The 20,299-nt window shown below is 40.6% G+C and overlaps 1 long non-coding RNA gene across 1 annotated transcript in view; it reads left to right on the plus strand.

The window, feature by feature from the left end:
- Window positions 1-19,937, plus strand: part of LINC02015 (long intergenic non-protein coding RNA 2015) — an 82,360-nt gene extending 62,423 nt beyond the window's left edge. Inside the window, exons 2-3 of the long non-coding RNA NR_110826.1 lie at window positions 16,326-16,489; window positions 17,277-19,937. This is a non-coding gene — a long non-coding RNA (long intergenic non-protein coding RNA 2015). The remainder of the gene's footprint in view (window positions 1-16,325; window positions 16,490-17,276) is intronic.
- Window positions 19,938-20,299: the final 362 nt, after the last annotated feature.

Consider the following 20,299-nt stretch of genomic DNA (forward strand, 5'->3'; position numbering starts at 1 on the left):
TGTGCTGGGACTGCTGTAGGCAAGCTTTGGAAGCAGGCCCTTCTCATTTTCCTGTTACCTTCCATCTCTCTGGGTTCAGTGGGCTTCAGTGTGTTCAGCAGCTACCAGGGCTCACCTAAGCAGCATTTAGGATCTTTCCTTTCTCTTGTTACAGCTTCAAACCTGACAGCTCCTGTGTGCAACCCCCTTAGCATCCTCTAAGGAACACAGTGGCTTACACCTGTAATCCCAGCACATTGGGAGCCCAAGGCAGGAAGATTGCTTAAGTCCAAGAGTTTGAGACCAGCATGGGCAACATAGCAAGAATCTATCTCTACAAAAAAAAATAAAAAATTAGCCAAACCTGGTGACATACATCCGTGGTCCTATAGCTACTCAGGAGGCTGAGGTAGGAGGATCACTTGAGCCTGGGAGGTCGAGGCTGCAGTGAGCAATGATTGTACAACTGCACTCCAGCCTGGCCGACAGAGCAAGATCCTGTCTCAAAACAAAACAAAACTAACAAAGACAAAAACCATGAAACAGTCCCAACAAGGGTGTTCATTCTAATCATAACTTGGTATGGTAATTGCCTGCCTTTTGAAAAGAGCCTTTATAAAAAGTAAAACAAAATGAAAGAAAACCACTGAAATTTTGTATATCTTAGCAGCTTTAGGACAACATCATGGAAGAGGGTAAAGTTCCAAAAAAATAATAATAATAATAATAACCTTTTGAGGGAGTGCATAATCTCGAGATGGGTGAGACTTGCTTTACAAACATATTCATGTCTTTAATAGACAGAAGAACAAGATACAGGAATAGAAAGATAGGAACATTCTTATGGAAACAGTGTGAGGAAATAGTCTACATCACAATTAGACTATATATATGATAACAGATGTGAACCTAGTGCTGTAAAATTATACTTTTAATTTTGCAAACTTCAATGTGCAATTAACCTGAATTTTTACCTGATAGAAAAGTGATTTACTTACCATGAACAATCACTTTAAAAGAAAAAACAACAAAGATAAAATACACTTATAAAACTTACTTTTCTTTCTTATGACAAAGGCAATACACATTTTTAGTTGAATATATAGAAAATATTTAGAAAATTTAGAATAAAAGAAGAACATAAAAAGTACAGCACCCCAAGATCATTACTGCTTACATTTTCATGTATATCCATCGACTCTTTTCTTCTATCCATGTAGTCATACTTGAGAGAGTCAAAAATGGAATCATAATATACATATTTTTCTTTTGCTTAAAAAAATACAGCATATGCCAGTGCTTCTCAAATGGTAATGCATGTAGAAATCATTTGGGGAACTTTGTTAAAATGCAGATTCCTATTCAGTAGGTCTGGGTGGGACCTGGAATTCTGCATGTCTAACAAGTTCCTGGGAAGCACATGCTGCCGGTCGCGGGAACACACTTGGAGTAGCAGGTGTGTACCCCATTACATGTCATTACTGATTCCTTACCAAGTTATTATTATTATTTGAGATGGAGTCTTGCTCTGTCACCCAGGCTGGAGTGCAGTAGCACAATTTCGGCGCACTGCAAATTCTGCCTCCCCAGTTCAAGCAATTCTCCTGCCTCAGCCTCCCAAGTAGCTGGATTACAGGAGCATGCCACCACGCCTGGCTCATTTTTGTATTTTTAGTAGAGATGGGGTTTCACCATGCTGACCAGGCTGGTCTCGAACTCCTGACCTCTAGTGATCTGCCTGCCTTGGCCTTCCAAAGTGCTGGGATTACAGGCATGAGCCACTGTGCCTGGCCTTACCAACTTATTTTTAATCACTGCAAATCTTCCATTATACAATGTATGTATCTCAACACTGTCATGAAATTGGCTAGTTAAGTTTACTCCTTTGCTCTTATTATACCAGAAAAAAAACTATGATAGACATTTTTGGGGTGAGAAATCTTTACACATGTCCATTGACATTTCCTTAAGGGAATTTTCTTGAAATGGAAGTGCTTCATCAGATTTATTCAGAATTTTAAAAACATTTAATACACACTGCCAACTAGCTCTTAGGAAGAAAACAATGCAGTTTTGAAAGGTACACATTAACCAGTTAGTTACATTACCTTGACCTGAAATTTCTTTTGGTTTGTTGTTTCCATTTCCATAATAACCCCACTGAGTTCTCTTGTATCTTTTTTAGTATTCTATAATCGATGTTTGCTCATGAGGATGTCTGCCCCAAGCTGGCCAGACTATTAGCCTGAATGCTCAGCACAGCACTAGACGCTAAAGAGATGAGAGAAGGATGAATAGTTAAATGGAAACATATGCCTTTCACTAGATAAATACTTCTTTAGAGCACTGTAGTGGAGGCAGTATCAATTTAATTTCTGACACATTAGACACTTTGACCACTAATTAAAACCTAAGCATGAAAAATTACTTGCTGCTTCTTATGGAAAATAACCCACAACATCCTTTGGCGTTAAACTATTTCCTAAAACTCCCAAATCTGTGCATAGCTGGCCAAAGTTTTAAAACTACATGCACCAACACCGGTGGGCTGTTATTATTATGCTTAAGGTTTTATTAGTGGCATTACATAATAATGCTTTTGTAATATTTTGATATAATATAGCTCATCATATAATAATTCTCATATAATATTTTGCAAATCCATCCCACACGGACCATGTTTTTATTTATATTTGTGGTATTTTATTCATCATGATTTTTTGTATTAATTTTGATTTTTAAAAATATCTCCTTAAATGTTACTTGGACCCCTTAAGTCTTGCACCCAATATGACTGCCTGACTTGCTTTACCCTAGTTCTAGTCCTAGAAGTTAACTGTAACTTAAGATTTTTGAGCAGTAAGATGAAAGTTATAACTTAAATTTTATACAGGTAATATCAAGTAATATCACTTAATCAAATAACATTTGCTTTAATTTTTACTGGTATAGTTAATTATTTTTCTTCTAGGTGTTACTATGTAATCAAGAACATATTCAAGTCACTGTACCTGTGGGCGTGGTATGAAATATGCTTGCTTTTCGTAGGCAACAACAGGGGACGTTTTGAGTCAGGGAGCTATTCATACCAATACTTTCCTTTATCCATTCAAAGTTCTTCCTTTTGTTCAATTACTAATTCAAAAAATACCCTTTGATTGCTGTTGTGTGATAGGAACCATGACAGGTAAATGCTATGTATGAATAAAAATGAGTAAAACATAATGTTTACCATCAAGTTGTTCCACGTTTGCTAGTGGAGGGACACAGTCCGTATGAAGATCAAATTAAACCCAGAGTTTAAATGGGACCAGAGAGGAAAGATGGGGACACCTGGAACACAGGAAAGATGTGGTCATGCCTAAGTTGTCTCTTCAGGAGTGAATTTTGTGCATGTGTTACACTCACCACACGCCACCACACACACCCCCACACAAACACACACAGAGATGCATTCTTTAGAATTTAGCCCATAACCATTGCCTTGGGAAGACTTAGATGTTTTGGCCAATGTACATTTAATCTAGGTCAAATTTTGCAAAACAAAACATGGAGTGCATTTGTTTGAGCAGGGGAATAATGCTGTCTTGGTCTTGAAGCCCATATGGCATCATGCATAGATTGAGAATCATCATGTCTGCTGAATTATGTTATCACTGACTTCAAAGTTTATCATTGATGAGCAGCAGCTGTTGCCAGGAATAGTAAATCACATCTTGCATTTTTATAAGAAATGGTATCATGGCTTTTCTGAATAACTGATTTTTAATAGAAGGCATAAGTCATCACTACACTATATATAGGAAGGGTATAGATTTACTTATTCATTTTTGACAATTTTATTTGATTTCAAAATATTTCATTGAATGTTCACTATGTGCACATGAATAAGCTTAAGTCCCTATTTTTAAGGAGCTTAAAATCCATTTAGGAAAAGGACATGTCTGTAACTAGAGTTTAAAGCCCAATGTCGTATGTGTTGAGTACAGATACAAATCACTTGGATGGGAAATGAGTGGGAAAAACAAAAAGCTCAGGCCAGAACTAGGGAAGAAAAGAGGACTTTGTAGAGAAGGGAGCATTTGGCTCGAACTTTGTTGGCTGTGCAGGATTTGTTTCATTTAGGTGGTAAAACACTGCAAGGCATTTGATGCCAAGAAGATAGGATGGGCAAGAAAATTATGAAGGTAAATAAATGCCAGTTTGGGGAATTGGGAAGTAATTAGGCATTGCTATTGATCAGTGCTTCTCAACCCTGGCTGCACACTGGAATCATCAGGAGAGTCTTGAAAATACTGGTGCCTGAGTTTAACCCTCAGAGACTCTGATTTAATTGGTTTTTGGTATGGCTTATGCATCAGAATTTTTAAAAGTTCCCCAAATTATTCTCATATGCAGCCAGGGTTGAGAACTTCTGCTGTAGACTAATAACTTAGCCTGGTTCTACGGGAGGTAAGGCAGGAAAAAAAAAAAAAAAAAAAAAAAGGAAAACAGAACATGCTTTTCCTGTGCTGAAAAAGAGCAGAGAATTTAAAAGAATATTCCTATTAGTTCATGTGGAAAATGTTAAGAGTCAGGGATTCTCATTTACATTTACAAATGAAAAAATGAGCTAGTCAAAGAAGGCTTGAAACTAAGGTAACATGACCGGTCTCTAGAACTCATCGTGAGAAAGGACAGGGTTTGAGGATAAGGAGAGAAAACTTTGATTACAAGAGTAAGAAAATTATAATGAAAAGAGGAGTCAGCAGTTTGGCTCTTCATGTTTGTCTTTGGCTTGAATTGGAAAGTATGGAAACTTCATCTAAAACTAGTCTTTTTTTTTTTTTTTTTTCCTTTCATCAACTACCAAATGTGTATATGAGAAAGGGCACACACAAAGGGAAGTGAATAAAGTAGGGCGGGTGAGCTTTACTCAGAATAGATGAAGGGGAAGTACACAGCCACTGTGATATCCTTTCTCACCTTGAATTGGTCTTGTAGGCACAAGGCTTCCTGGATTCTTGAAAAATTCCTACCTTCTCACCATTCAGGTCTTGTTAATTCTGCCTTCTTAATTCAGTAGTGACTCCTACATTCTGTCAGATGATAGCCTTCTTTAGGAAACAAAACGAAACCTGCTCATCCAAAACTTGGATAAATACGCCGGGTGCACTGGCTCACGCCTGTAATTCCAGCACTTTGGGAGGCCGAGGCGGGCGGATCACTTGAGGTCAGTTGTTTGAGACCAGCCTGGCCAATATGGTGAAACCTCATCTCTACTAAAAATATAAAAATTAGCTGGACGTGGTGGCACATGCCTGTAATCCCAGCTACTCAGGAGGCTGAGGCAGGAGAATCCCTTGAACCCCAGAAGCGGAGGTTGCAGTGAGCCAAGATTGCTTCATTGCACTCCAGTCTGGGCATCACAGCAAGACTCCATCTCAAAAACAAACAAACAAACAAACAACAACAACAACTTGGAAAAATAAAATTGAATCTTCTTCTTCAAAAAATATATATACTTCCAAGCCAGTGTTTCTCAACTTTTGGGATTATTCTAGCACTCAGACATGCTTCAGCCATGACATGCTCACCCATTCCCCACTGCAGTTACAACTCTTCACACTGCATTGTGTGCTCTTTAATGGTCCCAGTGGTCATAGTTGTTTTGTTTTATTTTCATTGCCTAGCACAATGCCACACATATATTCAATAAATGTAATACTTTTACTTCTAGGTTCCAAACAAGACCTTGTTTCCATGGACTTGTAATACCTAAATAAAGAACAAACTCTTGTAACATTTAATTTTCATTAATTTTCTGTCTTTCCATATTCCATAGTGTCCTCCCACTTCATTCTGGTTTTCACCATAAAAGATTTAGTTTATAACAGTTTTTTTTTTTTTTTGTGGTAGTAAATATCTGAATTTTTTTCCCTTCATTGTTATCTTTAGTGAACGGCTCTTGCAGGAAGTTTATCAGTGTCAACTCACTCATCTGCATCTGAAACGTTCGATGATGGATTGTCACTCAAGGGAACCATTATATTTCCATACGTAGAGAAGTTCCTTTGCCAATCACAACAAAATGATACAATAACCGTTAATACAGAAAGAATGAGTATGCCTCTACCTGCTCTTATCTTACTGCTTCTCTTTAGGTCCTACTCAGTACTTCCTTTCTAAAGAGACAGCTTCCTAATTTCCCTACCTCCTAATGTATCCACTGTCTTCCCTCTCCATTTCCTTCAAATACATAACTGCCAGATACATTTTTCTTAACTAGAGGTATGATAGTCATTTTCTTACTCAAATCTTTCAGTGGATCTCTATTTCTAACTCAGATGTGTCCTTCTGACTTGGATATTTGTAAAGAACTTCACGCTCTCGCCCAGCTTTCCCTTCCCGAAGCTTGTCCTGCTCACCTTTACATGAGGCTCCAGCTTATTGTGCCTATTAGGTGCACTTTCAATACAGCACATTCTTTCCTGCCACCTTGGCTTTGTCTTAGCTACTTCCTTCCTATGAAATGTCTGGATTCCCATCAATAGAACATTAACTCATCCTCAAGGTCAGTTCAAAATCAGTTCCTTCATGAGGAATTCCCCAATTCCTGTAAATAAACATGATCTCTCCCTTCCTAATCTCTCCTTAGATTAGGAAATCTCAGTTCTGAGAAATAGAACTGTCTTTCTGTTTCTCTCAGGGTCTTCCGCTTGGCTTGTTTTATAAATATCTATAGCCTACACTATCTCCTGAGATGATAAAGGCCTTGAGGAAATGGTAGGTACATTTGGTACCTACCTTGAGGAAATGGTAGCAACACAGTAGGCATGCCTCAAGTATTTGAGACATGTTTCCTTAAAGTGTAGTGAAATATTAGGGCTTAGGGGGATAAGTTATATTCTTTTACATTCGAAATATTAGAAAGGAAGCCTAATGGGAAGGCAAAGAAATTACCTAATATAGGGCTTTGTATTCCTATAATTTTGAACTCTAAAATCACTATGTTTTTCCTTGCACCAGCCTTCACCTCCCTACCCCCATATACACACTCACATATGTACACACGGGTATAGAGGGGACTTTTGGTCTGCATAAAAGATAAGCAGACTAACTCACTATGATTATTCTGAATCAGATAAAAATATGTAACACCCTTGACATGAAAACAGTCTTTGGTGAAGAAGAAAAACTTCATTAACGGTTCTTTAAAACAGTTATAATCCCTTTACTATGCTACTTTGGAAAGGAAATATAAAACAGTATGATTACATATTTAAGAAGAAAACTATAATGTATTTCAGCTCCTCCTGGTAAAATGTGGAATAAAAAGTAATCTGGACCTACCAAAAAAAAAAAAAAAAAAAAAAAAAAAAAAAGCCCAAACAGCTTCTGCTCAGTACACGGCAAAACTGTGAACATTTGAACATTTAGTGACATCTGGGCAAGAAAAGTCAGCCGGAAAAACAATCTGTTTTTGTGACACATTTTTGAGATGAATTCAAAGAGCAACTTTTAAGGACAAAAAAGCAAATTAGTGTTTTATGTTGGGGAGAATATTTTATTCTTCCTTTTTCAGGGCTGCAACTCAGTAACCGCATCCCATATAATGCTGGCACTTATGTCTCATAAATACTCTGTAGGTTTAGTGACATGGCTCTTCTGGGAGCTTTCCCTAGGCAACTAACATTGCCACTTCTAGATTTTGCTTTCAATGATAGGCCTAGTAAAAGTTGGATGTCCCTGATATGTAATGGTAACAACTGAAAATGCCATTCTAATATTTTCTGTAGCAAAGAATGAAAGAGCTAAAGGGGTTTTCTTTATTAAGTCAGCCTAGGTAACTCAAATATTCTCCTTCATTCTCCTTTCCAGCTTTCTGTTGATTTTATTGCGATTAAAACACCATCAAATGAAAAGATGAATTTACTGTTAAAACTTAAAGTTTCTTATGTACAGTCCAGCTATTGCATTACCAAAAGATGCCAAAGGAAAATGAAGTGTTCTCTCTATATGGAGATTGAATTTAAAAATTCATCTTATTTTTTAAATGCCTGGCACATTAGCCTACACATACTTTTAAACTGTGTTCCCTCTTCACCAGCTCTACTCTTACTGTTTCGATTCAAGTCCTGGAATGGAGAGGATTACTTTCTTCTGGATGTATCCCTGCCTCCTCCCTCACCCTCATCAAATTCACCCTCCACTCTGCCACCACAGAGATGCTTCAAAAAGTACATTAGATCATGTCATCTGTTGAAATTCTGAGGTTTCTCTTTGTCAGGCCATCTAAGGCTTGTGAAGACCTGGCCTTGCCTTAGTTCTCACCATTTTTCCTCTTGCAGCCCTGTCCCCAGTACATACAGTCAGGCCAGACTGCGTCCTGTCCCCTGAACCTATGATACTCTGCTGGGCTTTCATTTCCTCTCCTGAATGTTCTCGCTTTTTGCTCCCAGGCTGTTTCCTATTCAACCTCTCATTCTCAGTTCAGGCCTCACCTCTGTAGAGATGCTTTCTTGGCCCCCTCTCATGTGCCACAGCCTCTTGTGATTCTTCTTTCATAGATCTTGCCCCACTATACTGTGATAGTGACTTCCTGCCTCTCCATCTAGGCAGTGAGCTCCATGAGGATCACTTGCTATGTCTTTTTTTGGTCTGTCTTTCAATATTTCCCAGAACAGGACCATGAACTGGGGAGGTGTTGATTATGTCTTTGTTAAAATAACATCCAATCTATATTGCTTAAAAGTAGCTCACACAGGCCAGGTGCGGTGGCTCACGCCTGTAATCGCAGCACTTTGGGAGGCCAAGGTGGGCGGATCACGAGGTCAGGAGATCAAGACCATCTGGCTAACACAGTGAAACCCCGTCTCTACTAAAAATACAAAAAAAATTAGCCAGGCGTGCTGGCAGGCGCCTGTAGTCCCAGCTACTGGGGAGGCTGAGGCAGAAGAATGGCACAAACCCAGGAGGCGGAACTTTCAGTGAGCCAAGATGGCGCCACTGCACTCCAGCCTGGGCAACAGAGTGAGACTCTGTCTCAAAAAAAAAAAAAAAAAGTAGCTCACATATTTTACACCCCCACTCATTTCTCTTTTAAATTAATTATCCTTTTTCTATACCTGCTTCAAAACAAATAATACAGTACCCAAAGCCATTCAACAGGCTTGAGCACAAGACCATAAACAAATCAGTTTAGTTCACTAAACACTCTTCATTTTCTAATACACAGCAGATATTTCTGATTTCAGTTGCAGAGCTATTCTGATTGGCTCATTTTAGTAGTTATGTTTGATCAAATTGATTAGAGGAAACCACACTCCATGAAGGGGTGATCAGAAAAATTGGTGCTTGTTGGTCTCTGATGAAAAATGGACAAGCCTATTTAGCATATCACCTAAAGCTACCTCAGGAATGTTTTGGAAAACTGTTCTGCAGCTGAGTCTGCAGTCAGGGTCCACAGCCTAGAGAGGAAATCACATACTTGGAGGCGGTGCTCTAAAGAAGTGTTACTGATGGTGATGAAAATGTGCACCGAAAGAGATCAATGAAACAGGAGCTGTTTGACCCATTGCATGAACTGCACTCCACGTTAGGTTTCCGTTGTGTACACTCCTCATTGTATTCACCATCTATTCCCACTCTCCAGGATATACGCACTCACACAGACAAAACAGACACACAAACACACACACTCCAGCAAGATTTAGGTAGGAAGTAACCCAGCCAGGAGAGATAGACACAGTGAGATCTAGAGATTCTATTTTTATAAAGGCCTTGCAACTTGCAATCAGAAATGATGTCAGGGAAAGTGGCGATTGCTGTTTGATTGGGTGAATCTACCATTAATTAGTAAGAAAAGCACTGTTGGTATTTTGAACAAAAGTTATTATTATGATTAGGACAGTTGCCTCATTTGTCAGGAAATTCAAACTGTAATTTTTAGCGGTGATTTAAGGTTAACAGGTGAAGAAGCTATGCTCCCAAGTTCAATTAAAGAAAAGATAACTAAGGATTTACGTATGTTACTATATATGTCTTTCCCGTCAGGCTCTAAATTCCTTGAAGGCAGATATGAAAGTACAGCTACTGCACTGATGGTGACCAAAATTCCATGCCTCTTGTACATGACTATGTCTAGACTGGGGCATTTCTTATCATAGAAAAATATGAGCCTGGCTCAAATATTGTTTTATTTTTACTTGAAGTGCAATCTCTTTTGGAGTGGATCTGTTTAGATTATTTCCAAGGGTTTTTTTGAAGAGTCATAAAGGATGCACTTGAAGGCTGTCTGATCATTCCTTGACATGGGCAGAATTATGGGGAGCATTTGATGAACTGAGTACCCAGCTAAGTCAGGCAGCTGTGGGCAGTGGAAAAGAATGATGGATGTGAGCTGGGCTGGGAGGCAGGGAATGGGAAGCAGTCAGAGGAGGGAGGGGCTTTCTTATGCTTTATTTCACCAAATCCTCACAAGAAACTTGCAATGGAAATTGTATTGTTCCCTTTTATATGTGAAAAAACGGAGGCTCCTGGAGACTGAGAGATTTGTTTGCATAGGCGATGCATGGAAGAGGCAGGGTCTAAACCCAGGTAGTTTGAAGCAGTGCTCTTCTTTACATGCTACAATACATAGCCTTACCCACAGCAGACTTGGAAGTCACTGTGCTTGAATTTTCTTTGGCTTTGACAGTGTGTGGCATTGGGCAAATCACTTAATGTCTCAGGATTTGTTTCCTCAGCACCCAGCACAACAATGCCTTCCCTGTGTTCATTACAGTAGTGTTGCAGTGGCCTAACAAAATAGCACAAGTCAGAAATCACTTTGTATTTGTAAATTACAAAACATGAAATGAATATAAAGGGTTATTATTATACTTACGGCCCTCAGCCTACACCTGAAGAAAGAGCAAAGCAATTTGAGAGACACTGCTAGTGTGGAGTATGAACTTGCATTTGCAATTTCATAAAGACTTTTTTTTTTTTTTTTGCTGCAAGGGTCTATTGATTATAACTGCCAGTCTTCAGTGCACTGCTTATCTTACATACAATTAATTATTCCATAAATCAAATAAGCGAGTTGTTGGCAAATGACATCTGCAATCTTTGAGCTGACAGCAAAATATATTATGAACCATAAATATCTCAGGCCAACTTTTCTTTTCTAGACATTTTGGTGCTGCTACCCAGGAAGAGATTATTACCGTGAAAAAACACTTGTGCTTGCTGATGATAACAGAACATGTTCAGCCCTCTCAGCAACCGAGGGGGCAGCTCTTTAATTTCTGATCTCAGGTCAGCAGGCTCATTTGACAAGACCAAAGTGGGATAATAGAGACATCATCAAAATAATTTGTCAGGCCTGCTAACATACTTTGTTCTGAGAACTCTGGTCTCTGAATACTACTTTTCTGATCTTATGTGACCCTAATTCCTGCCTTTGCTAACACACCTGGAATAGTGCCTGGCACATAGTAGATACTCAACAAATGTCTACCTCAAACTCCAGTCTTAGACTATTTACTTTCTATTTCCTCAGCACTGTTGTCTGATTGTTTCTTCTCCTGAACATCACTTGATTAATCTCTAGCATCTTATACTGTGTGCAGACCCTGCTGTGTTCTTCTGGGTTGAGTCTTAGCCTAAGGCCTTGGTTGTCTTATCGGCTTCCAGTCAGCTCACAACTGACCAGTTACAGTTTTGCACATGTTCCTGGCCCTCTACTGCTCTCTACCCTCCTGTGAAAGCATTGGCCTACCCAGGGGGAAGGGTGACGCTTTGCATAGCAATTGTAGTTGGGTGATTTTTATTTATTTATTTATTTATTTATTTATTTATTTTTTTATTGATCATTCTTGGGTGTTTCTCGCAGAGGGGGATTTGGCAGGGTCACAGGACAATAGTGGAGGGAAGGTCAGCAGATAAACAAGTGAACAAAGGTCTCTGGTTTTCCTAGGCAGAGGACCCTGCGGCCTTCCGCAGTGTTTGTGTCCCGCAGTGTTTGTGAGATTAGGGAGTGGTGATGACTCTTAATGAGCATGCTGCCTTCAAGCATCTGTTTAACAAAGCACATCTTGCACTGCCCTTAATCCATTTAACCCTGAGTGGACACAGCACATGTTTCAGAGAGCACAGGGTTGGGGGTAAGATCACAGATCAACAGGATCCCAAGGCAGAAACATTTTTCTTAGTACAGAACAAAATGAAAAGTCTCCCATGTCTACCTCTTTCTACACAGACACGGCAACCATCCGATTTCTCAATCTTTTCTCCACCTTTCCCCCCTTTCTATTCCACAAAACTGCCATTGTCATCATGGCCCGTTCTCAATGAGCTGTTGGGTACACCTCCCAGACGGGGTGGTGGCCGGGCAGAGGGGCTCCTCACTTCCCAGTAGGGGCGGCCGGGCAGAGGCGCCCCTCACCTTCCGGACGGGGCGGCTGGCCCGGCGGGGGGCTGACCCCCCCACCTCCCTCCCGGATGGGGCGGCTGGCCGGGCGGGGGGCTGACCCCCACACCTCCCTCCTGGACGGGGTGGCTGCCGGGCGGAGACGCTCCTTACTTCCCAGACGGGGTGGCTGCTGGGCGGAGGGGCTCCTCACTTCTCAGACAGGGCGGTTGCCAGGCAGAGGGTCTCCTCACTTCTCAGACGGGGCGGCCGGGCAGAGACGCTCCTCACATCCCGGACGGGGCGACAGGGCAGAGGCACTCCCCACATCTCAGACGATGGGTGGCCGGGCAGAGACGCTCCTCACTTCCTAGATGGGATGGCGGCGGGGAAGAGGCGCTCCTCACTTCCTAGATGGGATGGCGGCTGGGCAGAGACGCTCCTCACTTTCCAGACTGGGCAGCCAGGCAGAGGGGCTCCTCACATCCCAGACGATGGGCGGCCAGGCAGAGACACTCCTCACTTCCCAGACGGGGTGGCGGCCGGGCAGAGGCTGCAATCTCGGCACTTTGGGAGGCCAAGGCAGGCTGCTGAGAGGTGGATGTTGTAGCGAGCCGAGATCACACCACTGCACTCCAGCCTGGGCACCATTGAGCACTGAGTGAAGGAGACTCCGTCTGCAATCCCGGCACCTCGGGAGGCCGAGGCTGGCGGATCACTCGTGGTTAGGAGCTGGAGACCAGCCCGGCCAACACAGCGAAACCCCGTCTCCACCCAAAAAATATGAAAACCAGTCAGGCGTGGCGGCACGCGCCTGCAATCGCAGGCACTCGGCAGGCTGAGGCAGGAGAATCAGGCAGGGAGGTTGCAGTGAGCTGAGATGGCAGCAGTACAGTCCAGCTTCGGCTCGGCATCAGAGGGAGACCGTGGAAAGAGGGGAGAGGGAGAGGGAGAGGGAGAGGGAGAGGGAGAGGGAGAGCGGGTGATTTTGACAGAATACAGTCACTCCTGGTGGCTTGATTTAATGTATTTTAACATAATCCACAAAATATGTTTTTCAATTTTTCAACAGGGTTACACTTCTTAAGGAAATTTGCAATGTAATCTACTCATGACCTAAAGAGATATAAGTAGTTTTCAGTTATTTAACTTAGTAAATTGTCTGTATATTGGTAGATTATAAAATATCTCTTTCAGTCTTTTACCATTCTAGTATTCCTTTGCTCTTTTTTCTTTACACATTATGCCAATTACAATGGAAATATCAATTTATTTCAACTTATCAATGTTTCTTTAAAACATCAAACTGCTCTGTATGCCCGTGCATACCAGCATAAAAAGGCCATACCATCACAATCTGTCATGAAATGTGTACTGTATTCCGTTGATTCTAACATGCACATCTTTTAACATGTTAATATCTCTAAAATTGGCTGCATTTTACAATTGAAGGCATCTTAGTACTATTTCAGGATTGAATGGACCGTAATTTTTGTCTCTTAGGACTATATAAAATAGTGGCATATTATGCAACCAAAGGTACCTTAGAATTGATGAAAACCAGTCTAAATCTAATCATAGCTAAAAGTTTTAATTCATGTTTGGCAGATATTGTATGGTGTCTCATTCAGTCTCCCTCCATTCTCCTTTTGCTGTGCTTCTCTGTACTGTGGAAATTCCAATGCTTAAAATTTTTTAATTTTCAATGTAGCTAGAGTTCTAACTAAGAATGGGGTTTAGCCAAATAGATGAGCACGCAAAACTTGGAATGTGGAAATGAGACAAAGAGTGTCTTCCTGTCATTTTTGGGTGTGTGCTACTGGCAATCGGGATTCTGAAGACAGTATGTTCCTCTGCAAGAACATTCCAGTATCCTTTTTCCAGCTTCCTGTGTCCTAGAGGCAGCTATGGAAATGGCAGCAGCAAGTGGAATTTCAGCTTCCTGATCTCTGGAGCACTGTTCTGGGGTGTGCTTTCCCACTCAATAGTTCCAATGGTGGTATCAAAGTAGTGACTTTGTGTTGCTTTAGAAAAAATTCCTGGAGGCCCAGCCCATAATCAACTCTTCTAGCCTTTCCAACAATTTCATAAACACTGAATTCCCTTTATTGAATCCCTTGCTGCTTAGAATACCTAGAGTAGTTTTGGTTTTCTTTACTGGTGTATTTGACAATTACATCAGATTATTATATGTACCCTAACACAAATAAATCTATCAGAGAAATAAGAGGACCTTTACCTGTTTTCTTTACATCGACTGTAGTTATTTATTTATTTTTTTGAGACGGAGTCTCGCTCTCTCTCCAGGCTGGTGTGCAGTGGTGCAATCTCGCCTCACTGCAATCTCCACCTCCCGGGTTCAAGTGATTCTCCTGCCTCAGTCTCCCAAGTAGCTGGAACTACAGGCACGCACCACCACACCCAGCTAATTTTTTTGTATTTTTAGTAGAGATGGGGTTTCACCCTGTTGGCCGGGATGGTCTTGATCTCTTGACCTCATGATCCACCCGCCTTGGCCTCCCAAAGTGTGATATACAAGCATCAAGGTTTGTCATCGTGATTAAAGTAAATGCAATGCAAACAATTTCCTTCAGAAAAACAACAGCACTTAGAATTTCTATAGCCTCATCATACGACTATAAAAATAAACATTATTGTTTTAATAACATCTTTAAGTTCTTTAAGGTCAAGAAGGATAAGCAAACAAATAGATGGACACATAAATAAATCATTGTTTATGAAAAAAGAATTCACAAAATATTTTCACATTTATCTCTCCATTTGTCACTTGGAGAACTGGAGTTTGAAAAAAAAAGCAAAAAAAAACACTATATGGGATATCAACATGAACCATCTGTCTGACCTTAAATAAGTCATTTCATTTTGCTGTGACTCAGATCCTTTTTCTATAAAATATGGAAAATAAGACCTGTCAATCGCCTGGATTTCAAAGATATTGTCAAGAAAAATATTACATAATGCCCTTGCATATGCTTGAGAAAGAACTTGGAAGTTTTGGATATTATTAAACTTGGATTGTGTACTTTTAGTATTATTGTTAATACTTCATAAAGTGTCACAAAAATTTGAAATTAACCATATATAGGAAATTGATCTAATTAAATAGAACACATCTACCTCATTTTCTTTCTCAAAATTATAGTTTCAATCTGCACTGTGAAAGAGCTCTGTCCATAGATGTGATAATGAATTATATTCCAAGGTTAAACCAGGACTTCTCTGAAAGCCATTAGGGATCAGTTTGATGCTAAAAATAATCCACTAATAAATGTTCCTCATTTTAAGTTCCCTTCTCAGAAATAATTAAAGGGTACATCTCAGAGGCCAGTAATTTTCAGGCTAACTGCCACTTTTTAATCTAAGTTTTTCTTTTTTTTTTTGTTTAAATTTATGATACTTAAGCCACACATCAACGTATTCAGTGAAAACACTTCTTTAGGATATGTCAGTTATGCTGAACAAAGAGAGAAGAATTAATTACATATCTTTGCCTTAGAATAAGATTTTCATTTCTATTAATTCTTATACATAAAATCAAACTGATGCCTCTTGCAAGCATCTTTTGTATGATTTTTCATTGGTTTAAGCAGAGTTAGATGTCAGAGTTCATTTTAATTTAAAAAAATTTAAGCTTTAGGATTTGACAAATGTATTTCTTTCAGTATGCAGCTGTGGAAGACACTGAAATATGTGAGCTATTATATCTATTTTAAGTAGCAAGAATAGAAATTTCAAAATAATTACATTTCTATAGCTAATGCTTGAAGATAGTTTAATGTGGTGGTTGGATGCACAAACTCTGGAGATGACTTCATGAACTTAAATTCTGTATTTCTCCATTTGTAAAAGGAGACAATGATAATATTTGCTTTTCAAGGTTTTCATAAGCATAAGCATTAAATGAATTAATACACTTAACAAGGGTCTTTTTTTTTTTTTTTTTTTGAGACAGGGTCTATCGCCCTGGTTGGAGTGCAGCAGTGTAATCATAGCTCACTGCTGCCATGAACTTCTGGGCTCAAGCGATCCTCCCACCTCAGCCTCCCTGTGTGCTGGGATTAAAAGTGTGAGCCACCGTGCCTCATCGTAAGGGTCTTAAAAGAAACCCTATTTCATGTAAGTGCTCACTAAACAGTTACCACTTACTGTGACAAGATACAATATTGTCTCTTTTTTTGTCCACAGGGCCTGTCATATTTAGAAACGTGACTTCTGGTATGTCCAGGGCCAAATAAAAATGTTTTCTTACACTTCACACATAATACATTATATTAAATGGCAGAAATCAAAACAATAGGAAATAATCACAAATTAGTGAGCTCAGGGATTGGACTTGTCTTTAATTTCAAATATGTGCCATGATTTTCTATGTAATTAGAGTACATGAAAAGAGAATAAACCAAATCTAGACATCTCTAATTCTAATATTACAAACAAAACATATTTGAAAACATTCAACCACTTGATTGTATTCCTCAGCTTTCCTAAAATGGTTACTAAATTGCAGACTTGGATGAAGCATTTGCCCCCAAATGTGTGTCTGTTAAACTTTAGTTTCTTAGGATGCTCAATGAAAATAAAAACAGAGTACCATAGTCAAATAAGTTAAATAAATTGAGAAAAATTGCATAGTATATTCTTTCTTGTAAATTCACATTGTTCATTAGCATATTATAGTCTTAAAATAAAGAAACTAATTTGATTATGTTTAACCAACTTCTCCAAAATATTTGATTATAAGATCAAATTTGTCCTCATTTGTGGGATATTCTACAGAACTGATGATCCAAAGGATGTACATTTGAAAATGACAGCATAAAAATGAAAATGAGGTCTCTAAGTATGCTTATTTATGCAAAAATTATACTAACTAAATATCAAACTATTGTTTTCATTTATTCAGACTTTCTTGATGCACTTGATATGGATTATATAAATCTATGGACAAAAATGACATCAGTACAATGGAATATTGGAGTTTTCTACCATAATCTCTGCATAGTGCACTGATTTTGACAATCACCTATGGATGAAAATACATTTGCCAGAGTCTAGGAGTTAAATGGAAAAGTTAACAGCACACCGTTGGAGAAAAATATCTGGGAGTAGATGCATTCAAGGGAGTAAGAAGAACAATTACCTGCATCACCTCACCCCCAGGGTCCACTTCTTAGTGCCAAGATAGACTCCCTTCAGCAGGCAATTTCTCCCATGGGGAAAAGGAGAGTATAATGAGTGAGTATCCAGCTTTTCCAGCTGTGTGAGGCACATCCCAAGAAGCCCATCTTTCTTTCACTCAACTCAGAATATTGAGGGTATTAGCATGGCTAAGTGGCTGGGACAGGGCAGTAGCAGGAAAGAAAGGAGAGGACTCACAGCAACCAGGACTTGAAACTCAGTACAGGGTACATATCCTTTGAAGCATTTCACAGAGCCCATCAGGAGGCCCACCCATGAACCACTTGGGACACCATATCTGTAGCATCTCCCTGCAACTGGCCCATAGGAGCCCCCGATGTTTTGTGCATATTCCCCTTCCCTTTCTCCTATAGTCAGTTGCCTGCACATGCACTCCAGATGGTGAGTGTGAGCATTTACCTACAGCTTTTGAGTACATGCAGTCAGCAGGCTCAACTTTGAAGGATTGGGAGGAATACAAAATTGAGCATTTCAGGGCACTGTCCTAGAGGAAACAAACAGAAAGCTTTCAGGACCCAGTTTGGTTTTGTGGATTTAAGAGAAGACACACAATCATCAGAATTTCTTCTCCACCCATCCAAGAAGTGTGGATTGGGTGAATCCATAGAAAAGATCTGAGAGAGCCTCAGATTCCCTATAGGCTCACTGTTGAAGATATTTCTCTCAAATCCAGTCAGTAAAGACTAGAGAAAGTGACTCTTTCTTCAAATGTGAAGACAGCAGTGCAAGACTTTGAGGAACATGAAAAATCAAGGACACCTAGTACCACCAAAGGAACATAATTTTCTGGTACCCAACCACAAAGAAATGGAGATACACAAATTGTCTGACAAAGAATTCACAACAATTGTTTTAAGGAAGTCAGTAAGCTACAAGAGAACACAGAGAACTTAATGATATTAAGAAAGCGACACATGAACAAAATAAGATGTTCAACAAAAAGATAGAAATTATTAAAAACAACCATGATTTTCGAGCTGAGAATACAATGAATGAAATGGAAAACACAATAGAGTTTCAATAGCAGACTTGATCAAGCAGAAGAAAGGGTCTGTCAACTCAAATACTAGTCATTTGAAATTATTCAGTAAAAGAAATAAAAAGGAATGAAAAATGCTTATGCGATTGATGCAACACCATGAAGAGTAGTCATATATGCACTATGGGAGTCTCAGAAAAAGAAAGAGATAAAGGGGAAGAAAACTAACTTAAAGAACTAGATCAGTCTCTCCTTATCTGTAGTTTTGCTTTCCTTGGTTTCAGGTACAGTACAATGATATGTTTTAAGAGACAGACAATGAAAGAGAACATGCAAATATTGACATAATTTTTATTACAGTATATTGTCATAGTTTTTCTATTTTGTTATTAGTTGTTATTCTCTTACTGTGCCTAATTTATACATTAAACTTTATCATAGGAATAGTGGTGGTGGCCTGTCTGGAGTGGCCACTGCCAGGATGCCAGCTGCAGCAGGGGAGGTGTAGCTGGGGCTGTGCACTCCGCAGAGCTGGGGGGGGCCAGGAACAGGTGATCCTAGTGGGAGCCCTATATGCTACTGAGTTAGTGGGGTGGGAGCCTGTGCTCCCAGGCATAGCTGCAGCTGCCCAGCCATGGCTCCAGCCCTAGGCATACCTGTGCTCTCAGGGGCCCTGGAAGTCCCCTGCCCTTACAGGCTTGGAAGTGCCTGCTCCCATTCCCTGGCCTCTTTCCACTGCTGGCACCTGCTCTGTGGCAGAGCAAAGTTGTGGATGTGTTGTGATAGCTGAGCCTGGGAGCTGTTGTGACGTGGTCAGGTGTGTGTGTTCAGGGCAGTTCTGATACACCAGACTCCCCACTGCCTTTGCCCCCTCTGGAAACTGCTTCTGAGGCTGAAACTTTGGATATTAATGAGCAAGGATGGTGGGGGAGGCCAGGACGGCTGAGGGCAGCTAGGTGTGGGCCTGTGGACACCCCTTAGTGCGGACAGTCTGGGTGCTGTGGATGGCATGTTGATGGCAGCGAGAGGCAGACATGTTCCTAGGTGGGAACGGGTGGGTCCCTGGTGAAACCTCACCTTCAAGCCAGGGACAGCTTGAAGCATGGGGGCCTGGCTGCCAGTTCCGGTTGCAGTCTGTGACCTGGAGTGAAAACTTCATTGATGTCTTTCAGCCAATTGGATGGTGCTTTTTCCAGACCCACAAATGGCTGCCCATGGACCAAGCAGTATGTACTTCCTCCATTCTGAGCCCATGAAAACCCCAGACTCAGTCAGACTCTGACACTCATCAGGATGACAAGCCTGCAAATAGGATCTACCCATTTTGGGTATGCACTCCACTGAGAGCTATTCTGTCACTCAATAAAGCTCCTTTCTGCCTTGCTCACCCTCCAGTTATTCACATAACCTCATTCTTCCTGGATGTGGGACAAGAACTCAGGACCTGCTGAATGGTGGGAGGGAAAGAAGCTGTAACATGTTCCTGGCCAGCTCACCAAGCTGCAGGTGGTGACATACTCCTGGACTATGGGAGTGAAGAGTAGTGACCCTTCTGGGGGCCCAGACCTTGAGATTCTCCGAGCCAGAGCTGCAGTAACACTATAGCTCTCCTGCCCTCTGCTGGTGCTGGGTGGCCCCCCAATGCAACAGGACGCAGCAGCAGGCCTGGGCCAGCCCAGGAGCTGGGAGCCTGAGTGGGGTGGTGGAACTGAAAGGGCTATAACACAAACCAACCAAAACATGCCCCA

This window comes from Homo sapiens, chromosome 3, assembly GCF_000001405.40.
Source record: "Homo sapiens chromosome 3, GRCh38.p14 Primary Assembly".
NCBI classification, from domain to species: domain Eukaryota; kingdom Metazoa; phylum Chordata; class Mammalia; order Primates; family Hominidae; genus Homo; species Homo sapiens.